Source organism: Homo sapiens, chromosome 8 (genome assembly GCF_000001405.40).
Source record: "Homo sapiens chromosome 8, GRCh38.p14 Primary Assembly".
NCBI classification, from domain to species: Eukaryota; Metazoa; Chordata; class Mammalia; order Primates; family Hominidae; genus Homo; species Homo sapiens.
In genome coordinates, this window is record NC_000008.11 from 138,945,481 (window position 1) to 138,956,215 (window position 10,735).

The window sequence follows — 10,735 nt, forward strand, 5'->3', positions numbered from 1 at the left end:
GTAAGCAGATTATTAAGATATAGAAGAGACTGGTTAAAAGAAGTATCTGATGATATGAAAAATGCTGTGGAGACCCTCTACCCAGGCTGGGAGTACATAAGAAACTTCATTGAGAACCAAACTAAACCTTTAAGTGATAAGGCTAGGGTGTATCATTGGAGAGAAGGATGCACCAGACAGAAAAAAACAGTAGTGCAAGGGGCTGCGGCAATCCATCATGACAGTAACAACTCATGCTAATATGGTGCTTTGTCTGCTGCATAGTGGCAGGACAGGAGAGCAGGGTGAAACCCCTTTGTGTTATTCCAAGTCTTTGTAGCATGTACTACAGATACCTTCTTAAGGTTGACGGTGGGGACTTGCAAAGACAGAAGGCAGGGTGAGACAGTGGAAAGAAACCCCTTGGAAGTAGTCCAAGGTGTTGCTGAGTGTACTAAATACATTGCTTCTGAAGCCTCAGACCAAGGTAGCAAGTCAGAGAGAGGCATCTCCAAAGGTATAGAAATCCAAGGACAAGAGAAACACCAGAAAGAAAATAAGTCCCAGAGATTATAAAATTTGAAATCTGAGGAAAGAGAGAGAAAACAGATAGACAGACAGATACACATACCACAGTCAAAATTTGGCAGCTAGGCTGTAAGGCATAAAGAAATTTCTAGAGATTTTTTTTCAATGTCCAGATCCCAAGGAAACGTTTCCTTACTTCTTTTGAAATAATTGAAGTCAATTGTGCACTAAATCTAAATAAAAGTGTAAAAAATGCCATTTAACATACAGATTAGGTAGACTCAGCACCCCCTCCTCCCACACTGGCAGTGAGTCATGAAGAGTATGCCATTATCGGGCCGGGCGCGGTGGCTCACACCTGTAACCCCAGCACTTTGGGAGGCCAAGGTGGGTGGATCACGAGGTCAGGAGTTCAAGACCAGCCTGGCCAACATGGTGAAACCCCGTCTCTACTAAAAATACAAAAATTAGCCAGGCATGGTGGCGGGTGCCTCTAATCCCAGTTACTCGGGAGGCTGAGGCAGAGAATTGCTTGAACCCAGGAGGCAGAGGTTGCAGTGAGCCAAGATCGTGCCACTGCACTCCAGCCTGGGCAACAGAGCATGACTCCATCTCCAAAAAAAAAGAGTATGTCATTATCTGAAGGTAAACATTATTTAAATCCATCTCTGCTATTCATTTTCAGACAATGTTTAACATTCTGTCAAAAATTGTAAAACATAAAAAGAAGCAAGAAAATTGACCCATAGTCAAGAGAGAAAACAATTGATATTTTGATAGAGATTGCACTGAAAAGAATGAAGTAGAAACACCAGAAATAAAAAATCTATTTGAAAGGCTTACTGGCAGCATAGCAGGGGAAAGGAAAAGTACAGTTGAATACAGGTGAATTGCAAGTATCAAACTGAAATATATAGAGGAAAAAGGGGATTATATAGAAAGAAACAGAGAACCTGATAGAGAACAATATCAAGTAGTCAAAAGTGTATAGTTGTATTCAAAGGGGAGGTAAAGGAGAGGAGACAGAGAATGAAGCTAAAGAAATATTTAAAGAGATAGTGGCTGAGGCATTTTAGAATCGCCGAAAGTTATCAACCCACAAAACCAAGATAATTTCAAATGAAATTACTACAAACAGAAACACATCTAGGCACATCACAGTCAAAACACTGAAAACAAAACAGAAAGACAAAATCTTAAAATAAGCCCAAGGAAAGATACATCACATATAAGGGAACAATGATACAAAAAAAAGAAAAAAGACTGATTTCTCATTAGAAACAACAAAAAACAAAAGACAATAGGATAATATATTTAAAATAAAATTGTTCCTGTCTGCAGGAACACACAGGATGATATGTGTGAACAGTTGAAAAATTTGTCATAATTTTCACCTTTGATATAGTTTTTATATATGTATAAAAAAATTTTTTTACAATCACTGTCTTACAGTCTTACAGTCTCAAAACCCAACAACTGGGCAAACTCTGATCCATTTCTATCAATTGTTTCTTTCATATTTTTCATTTCTAGTGTTTCTACTTCATTTCAATGCAATTTCTATCAAAATATCAATTACATGGTAGTAACAAAAACAGAAAAAACAATCCTAAAATTTATATGAAATGAAAAAGGAGTCCAAATAGCCAAAGAAATCTTGAGCAAAAAGAAAAAAGCTGGAGGAACCACACTATCTGACTCCAAAATAGACTACATATTTATAATAACCAAAACATCATGTTACTGGCATAAAAACAGACACATACACCAACAGAACAGGATACAGAGCCCAGAAGTAAATCTACACACCTACAGCCAACTGATTTTCAACAAAGGTGCCAAGAATACACATTGGAAAAAAGACATTCTCTTCAATAAACGGTGCTGAGAAAATTGGATAACCACACAGAAATGAAACTAGACTCCTGCCTCTCGCCATATACAAAAATCAACTCAAAATTGGTTAAAGACCTAGCTGTGAAACCTGAAACTATAAAACTATTAGAAAAACCTGCTAGAAGTGTGAAACTACTAGAGGAAAACGTAAAGAAAATGTTTCACAACATTGGACTGGGCAAGGACTTTTGGATATTACCTCAAAAGCACAGGCGACAAAAGCAAAAATATAGACAAATGGGATTACATCAAACTATAAAGGATCCTCACATCAAAGAGAATAATCAGCAGTGTAAAGAGGCAGTTTACAGAATGGGAGATGACAGCTGCAAACTATACATTTGGCAAGGAGTTAATATACAGAATACATAAGGAACTTAGACAACTCAACGGCATGAATAAATAAATAAAATATCCCAATTAAAACATGAGCAAAGGACCTTAATAGGCATTTCTCAAAAGATGACATACAAATTCTAGCAGGTGTATGAAAAATTCCTCAGCATCTCTAAATGTCAGAAAAACGCAAATCGAAGTCATAATGAGATACCACCTCACTCAAGTAAGAAGGGCTAACATCAAAAATACAAAAGATAAGAAGTGTTGGTGAAAATATGGAGATGAGGGAACCCTTACACACTTTTGCTGGGTTTGTAAATTAGTACGGCCATTATGAAAAACAGTATAGAGGTTTCCAAAAAATTAAAAAGAACTGCTATATGATCCAGCAATCTCACCACTGGGTGTATATCAAAAGGAAATGAAATTAGTACATTGAAGACATACAGCACTCCAGTGTTTGTTGCAATACTCTTTCACAATAGCCAAGATCTAGAATCAACCTAAGTGCCCAATGACCAATGAGTGGATGAAGAATATGTCACACACACACACACACACACACACACACACACAAAATGGAACAGTACTCAGCCATAAAAAATGAAATTCTGTCATTTGCAACAACATGGGTGAAACTGGAGGACATGATGTTAAGCAAAATAATCCAGACACAGAAAGAAAAAAAACCCACGATCTCACTCAAAAGTGCAATCTTAAAAAGTTGATCACAGGCCGAGTGCAGTGGCTCACGCCTGTAATCCCAGCACTTTGGGAGGCCAAGGAGGGTGGATCACAAGGTCAGGAGTTTGAGACCAGCCTGGCCAACATGGTGAAACCCTGTCTCTACTAAAAATACAAAAAATTAGCTGGGCGTAGTGGTAGGCGCCTGTAATCCCAGCTACTTGGGAGGCTGAAGCAGGAGAATCGCTTGAACCTGGGAGGCGGAGGTTGCAGTGAGCCAAGATCGCAACACTGCACTCCAGTCCGGGTGACAGGGTGAGACTCTGTCTCAAAAAAAAAAAAAAAAAAAAAAAGCTGATCACATAAAAATATAGAGTAGAACAACAGTTACCAGAACCAGAGGAAAGGAGGAGGAAAGGAGGATGGTGAGAGGTTGATCCACAGGTACAAAATTACACTTAGATAGAAGGAATATGTTCTGGTGTCCTATTAATGCAGAGTAGGGAAATTATTGTTAACAATAATGCATTGTATATTTCAAAATAGCTAGAAGAGCTGTTTCTGAGTGTTCTCACCACAAAGAAATTATAACTGTATGAGGTGATGAATAGGCTAATAATTACCCTGATTTGATCATTTTGCAACATATACACATATAACATTGTACCCCATAAATATTTACAATTACCATGTGTCAATTAAAAATAAATGAAAATTTCAAAGACAAAAATAACTGCAAATTAAGAAGACTAAATCCATCAAAATATTATTTATAAATTGAGGCAAAACAAAGATATTTTCAGATAGGTAAAGCCTGAAAGAATTCACATCCAGCATATTTGCACTATAAGGAAGCTAAAAAGACGTTCTTAAGCTTGATGGAAAAAGATGCCAGAAGAAAGCCCAGATCTATAAGGAGAAATAAGGAAAATGAGAAAAGAAAAATATGTGAATAATTATAGGGCACCTTTTTATTTATTTATATAGGTATCTGTTTTGACAAGTGTGTACACACACACACACGCGCGGAGGCAATTGGCTGTTAAAAGCAAAAGTAAGCATGGATTTTAAGTATTCAGAATTTTAAAACAATATCAGAAGAGCACAAAGGATAAAAGGTATTATGAATGGAATTATAGGTCCTATCCAAAAGACCTCTTATATGCTTCTTACATTATTCTAAAAGTAGTATGTTATTTGAAATCAGACTTATGTTTTAAAGATGTATATTTTATCTGTAGTGCAACTACTAAAAAATAACACAAAGAACTGGGGTTTAGAAGTCAATACAAAGTAAGCTTATTTTTGTTAAATTTTAAAAATTTGATCTCTTCCAATCAAAAGTTCATTCTACAAACTTTATTATTTAAAATAAAAGGAAAACAAAACTTTTTTTTCTGGAACATTTTTATCCATTTTTCAAATGTTCTTGCTGTGCCTTGATGTCTTGATGTAACAGCCTTCCCCAGCCCCCATTTAAAAAAATATTTTTAATTATTTTCATACTGCCTTTTTAAAGATATACTTTATTTACATGCAATAAAATTATGCTTTGGGGTGTTAGGCTCATTTAGACAAATGCACATAGTCATGTTTCCGCCACCACAATCAAGATACAGAACATTACCATCGCCCTCTAAAATTCCCTCATGCTATTTCTTTATTGTCATTCCCTCTCCTCCACTCCACCCTTAGTCTCTGGCAGCCACCGATGTGTTTTCTGTTCCTATGACTTTGTATTTTCCTGAAACTGATTTTAAATATTTATGGGAGGCAGTAATGGAAAAGTTGACTTCATAACTTTATATCTTATACTTTTGTATAATGTGTCATTATCCATACTTGAGAAAGTGTATTCCATGATATATAGACATAAATAAATGTGCTTTACAATGTATATGTAAAACTTTTCTGTATATAAGAACTTCCTAGCATAAATTTGTAAAATAAAGCAAACTTGAAAAAGTCAATATAGGAAATACAATAGATTTGCATTAAAGAATTCTGGAAAAGTTTTTTTAAAGGATCAAAAACTTGTGGGATAAAGGGAAGATAAATTTCAAGATACTAAACTTTAAGACAATCAAACCAATTATTACACTAAATATAAATAGCTTAAATAGCTCAAAAACATGATAAGGATGGTTCAGCTAGCTAGATTTTTTAGAAAGCAATAACTTACTACATTCTGTTTCTAATATGCATACTTTAAATACAGAGATACAGCAGAAAGAAAAATGTAGGAAGAGATATATCATGCAAACAGTTAAGTCTAAGACAGCTGTTGTAGTCATATTAGTGTTAGAAAAAGTACTAAGTTGAAGACAAAGAGATAAAGAGGCATTTTATAATGATAAAAGTTTCCATTCATCAAGAATACATAACAATTCAACATACATATGCATTTAAGAACAGAGTTTCTCACCATCTTATACTTTTGTATAATGTGAAGCAAAACTATGAAACAAAACTAACAGAACTAAAGGGGAAAGAGATGAATTCACAATTATAGTTGGAAATTTTAGTGCTGCTCTCTGAATAAAAAATAAAACAAGTAGACAGAAATCAGTCATGTTATAGAATATTGAAACAATATTTTACAAGGTTTTACAACTCAGCACTATTCACATTTTCAACGGGATGAAAATGTGGAGATGGAGCGGTGGTGATGGGGTGGGGATGGTGGGTCGTGGGGAAGGTGGAGCAGGGCATTGTAGAATGTATCCCAGCCTCCAACACTAGATGTCAGTAGCACTCTTGTCCCAGTTGTGATAACCGAACATTTTCAAATATTGCCAAATGACTGGGTGGAGGAGGAGCAGGGCGAATCTCCCCTAGTTGAGAACCATTTATATAGAGCATATACCAGGACATAAGAAAAGTCTACATAATTTTTTAAAGTATTGAACATATATATAAGCAGTACGTTGTCTGAACAAAATAAAATTCAATTACAATAAGATATCTAGAAAATCCCCAAATAATTATAAATTTAGCAATGCTTTCCTAAGTAGCCTGTGGGTCCAAAAAGAAAAAGCACAAAGGAAATTAGAAAATAGTGTGCACTGAGTATTAAGGAAAGCACAAGAAAAATATCACAGGATGCAGATTAAGCAGTGCTTAGAAAATTTTCAGCTTCAAAGCAAATATTAGGGAAAACTTGTAAAATCAATCAACTAAGCTTCCATGTTAAGAAGCTCAAAAACTCAGAGCAAATTGAATATTAAGTAATTAAAAAACAATGCAATTTAAGAAGGAGCCAAAGTCAGCGAGCTGGCAAAAGAACAAATAGAGAGGAAAAGTGGGCAACTCAACATCACAGTGAGTGATCAGAGAGTCAGGGCTGGATCCCAGCTCTTCCCCAGGCTGGAACGAGTCATCTCCCTTCATCCACAGATTACTGAGCAGCTGAAGGAGACACAAAGGTGTACGTGGGAAGGAGTCAGGCCTCATGGGGATGTGTGCAGTTAAAACCCTGGGGATGCTGAAAGGAAGGACCATACAGAGCGGTGTGAGGGCCAAGTCTTCCATTACCTGACACTGGAAGCCACGTGGTTAAAACCCTGGGGATGCTGAAAGGAAGGACCATACAGAGCGGTGTGAGGGCCAAGTCTTCCATTACCTGACACTGGAAGCCATGTGGTTAAAACCCTGGGGATGCTGAAAGGAAGGACCATACAGAGCGGTGTGAGGGCCAAGTCTTCCATTACCTGACACTGGAAGCCACGTGGTTAAAACCCTGGGGATGCTGAAAGGAAGGACCATACAGAGCGGTGTGAGGGCCAAGTCTTCCATTACCTGACACTGGAAGCCACGTGGTTAAAACCCTGGGGATGCTGAAAGGAAGGACCATACAGAGCGGTGTGAGGGCCAAGTCTTCCATTACCTGACACTGGAAGCCACGTGGTTAAAACCCTGGGGATGCTGAAAGGAAGGACCATACAGAGCGGTGTGAGGGCCAAGTCTTCCATTACCTGACACTGGAAGCCACGTGGACAATCCAGAAGATGACTCACTTTGGCAGCCCTGAGAGTTAAAAACCAGTTTCCTTAGGCAAGACATTAACCTCTCTATGCTGTAATTTCACCCTTTGCAAAATGGGGAAATAGCAATGCCTCAACAACAGGGTTACTGTGAGGATGAATTAGGATGACATAGGTGAGGGGCCTGGCGGGGGTGGTGAGCACACCACAAAGGAATGCACACTGCTTTGGTCATTGCTGCTGATGTCTGAAGCAGGAAAAGGTGGTCAGGGCCATCCCTCCTGCCCCACTCAACCTTTTCTCTCCTCCCTCACCAGGGCTCTGATAGGCTCTTTCAGCTCCTGACCCTCTCCCTCTAGGATGCAGGTTCAGCCTGAGCCTGAGTCCACTTTTCTGAGGTTGAGCAACACAATTAGAATATGTGGAAAATCTGTAAACAGACACCAGCAAAGAGCCAGATGCTCCCTGGAGCCAGTCCAAGAACAATTAAGCAGCCCTTTGAAGACTAACTGAGCTGGGGGCAGTCAAGAGCTTGTCAGCTCCAGGCAGCAAGATCTCAACCTTCAGGGGCAGGGAGCACAAACCTCTCTCCCTTCCTCTCTCTCTCTGAAAGCTAAATAACAAAATATCAGCCCCTCCCAAAGGCACAGTGGTGAGATGAGGGCCACCAAAAGGCCTGCTTGGCAGGACACCCTGTCAGGTTTTGGGGAGAGAAGGGCAGAACCAGTAGCCTGCAGGTCACACTTGGCCTTTAAGGTGATCATTCATATCATTACAGTTATTATTGCTCACATGGCATTTTAAAAATCTGAATTAATTACCATCACTGAAGGATGTTGCATTTTCACATTCAAACTCACATACCCAGATTCTCTGGAGGAAGCCGTGTGTAAGGCCACAATGAGCACACACGTTCCACAAGCCACAGTGGGCTAGAGCTGAGGAGCTGCCCCTGGGAGAGTGGGTGCATCAGAATTTGCCACAGTAAGTTCCACCCCTGTGGTTTCCCCATCCTCACGCTGGCATTTCTGTCATTGCCTCTTTCTCACTTTAAACACCTGCTGGCCTATTTGTAAATTTGAGTTTACAACCTCTGCTTTAAAACAGCCCACATTTATTAGATAAAGGAAATGAGGCCTGGGAGGGAAACTGAGGAAAGAACTTGCTGAGGCCATCATCCGAGCCGAAACAAGTACAACTGCACAAGCTAGAGAACGCTGTTGTAAACCAAAAATAAAATAGGGCCCCCTAATCATCTGAATGGACACCCTCCTAAACCAGGGCTCTTTAAATTTAATCTGAGAGAGCTGGATGCAGTGGTTCATGCCTGTAATCCCAGCACTTTGGGAGGACAAGGCAAGTGGATCACTGAAGGTCAGGAGTTCAAGACCAGCCTGGCCAACATGGTGAAACCCTGTCTCTACTAAAAATACTAAAAGCAGCCAGGCGTGGAGGTGGGCGCCTGTAATCCCAACTACTTGGGAGGCTGAGGCAAGAGAATCACTTGAACTAGGGAGGCTGAGGTTGCAGGGAGCTGAGATCGTGCCACGGCACTCCAGCCTGGGTGACAAAAGAGCCAGACTCTGTCTCAAAAAAAAAAAAAAAAAAAAAAAAATTAACCTGAGAGACTGTTTCAGGCTATGACAGGAAATGGGGGTCCCACTTGCCTCATTATACCCCTCCAGCGTTAACATCAACACAGACGTTAAGTCTGATAAGGAACAGTTTGCAGCCTATTCTCTCTGAAGCCTGCTAGCTAAAAGCTTCATCAGCATGATAAAACTCTGGTCTGTACAACCTCTTATCCTAACCCAGACATTCTTTTCTGTTTGATCTCAGGTCTTTAGACAAACTCAACCAATTGTCAACCAGAAAATGTTTAAATTTACCTATAACCACCCCACCACCACCCCGAGTTTTCCTGCCTTTCTGGACCAAACCCAATGTATTACAAAAGTAATTGCAATTTTTGCCATTAAAACAATCTCTCAGGTTAAATTAAATAAAAAGTAATGGTGAAAACTGCAATTACTTTTGCACCAACCTAATATTTCTTAAATGTACTTAATTGGTGTCTCATGCCTTCCTAAAATGTATAAAACCAAGCTGCACCCTGACCATCATGGGTACATGTTCTCAGGACCTCCTGAGGGCTGTGTCACAGGCCATGGTCACTCATATTTGGCTCAGAATCAATCTCTTCAAAGGTTTTACAGAGTTTGACTCTTTGCACCGACACTGTCCTTCTGGTATCTTATGGCACAAGACCAGCTCCAATTTCATATTCTGCCTACAGAAACCACTCTGGCTAACACCATTCTCCCTCTTCCCTAAATTCCAAACCACCTGCCATTTTTGCTATTTATTTGGTAATGAATCACTTACTACCATTTATATTTTGGTCACCATTTATCGATGTCTGATATGCGGTAGATATTGTGCTAGGTCCCGGGAAGGATAATGTGTGAATTACGTGCAATCCTGCCATTCAACTGACTGATCCAGTGCAGTAGAAAAAGCACAGCCTTGGAGCCAACCAGGAACGAGTTTGAATTCTGCTCTGATGCAGAATTCTGGCTTTGGGACCTTGGGTAAGGTATTCAAGAGTTCTGAGTCTTGGTTTCCTCATGTGTAAAATGAAGGCTGTGATTCCTCCCCCACGTGGACGTTGGGAAGGCTGATGAGGGCACGCACGCAAAAGCATGGCGCTGACTGTGGTCTCCTTGCTCTCAGATCCATGACCTCCCCTTCACATCCTCAAGGGCATTGCAGGGCACTGCATTTCGCAGACGCCCTGGTTCCTGGCTTCCCACATGAGGCCAACAGGAAGACTGGAAGGCAGCAGGAAGGGAGAAGCCAGGGTATTTCTCCCCTTTACTCTTACTTTTGGTAGCCTTTCTGGCCAGAACTGCGTCTCCTCCACAGTGCCAGATCCGTGGCAGCTGCCATGGTTTTAGCTGCTGCTAGGAAACCCTAATCTCCAGGTTCAACAAATACCACCTCTTGGTTCTTCCTGGTCAAGGTTGTTGTGGGTAAGCAGCATCTATCGGTGCCAGTGGTGAGGGGTTAAAAGAATTTACCAAGATAATTGTAGGTAAAGAAAGTCAGATTTATTAGACAAAGTAGGAAAATACGTTGCCAAGGAGCAATGGGCAGAATCAGCAGAAGAGGAGCTGACTGCCAGGAAACAAAGACTTGCTGGAGATTTTATAGGACGGCTCTTGGGTTGATTGATAATGCCACGGCAGCAGGGAGCTAACTTGCATTCTTCTGTTCACCAAGGAGATGTTTGATGATAAAATGAAGCATTTGAGGATAAACAGAAA

At 39.9% G+C, this 10,735-nt stretch overlaps 3 annotated features.

Moving 5' to 3' along the window:
• Positions 6,026–6,320: an enhancer, noted in NCBI's record as "tiled region #9382; K562 Activating non-DNase unmatched - State 13:Ctcf". NCBI's record gives its function as "activates a minimal TATA promoter and a strong SV40 promoter by Sharpr-MPRA in K562 cells {active_cell/tissue: K562}" and the evidence as "EXISTENCE:reporter gene assay evidence [ECO:0000049][PMID:27701403]".
• Positions 7,390–8,078: an enhancer, noted in NCBI's record as "NANOG-H3K27ac hESC enhancer chr8:139965113-139965801 (GRCh37/hg19 assembly coordinates)". NCBI's record gives its function as "activates a minimal SCP1, AML or CMV promoter by ChIP-STARR-seq in naive H9 embryonic stem cells {active_cell/tissue: H9 hESC(naive)}" and the evidence as "EXISTENCE:reporter gene assay evidence [ECO:0000049][PMID:30033119]".
• Positions 8,769–9,457: an enhancer, noted in NCBI's record as "OCT4-NANOG-H3K27ac hESC enhancer chr8:139966492-139967180 (GRCh37/hg19 assembly coordinates)". NCBI's record gives its function as "activates a minimal SCP1, AML or CMV promoter by ChIP-STARR-seq in naive H9 embryonic stem cells {active_cell/tissue: H9 hESC(naive)}" and the evidence as "EXISTENCE:reporter gene assay evidence [ECO:0000049][PMID:30033119]".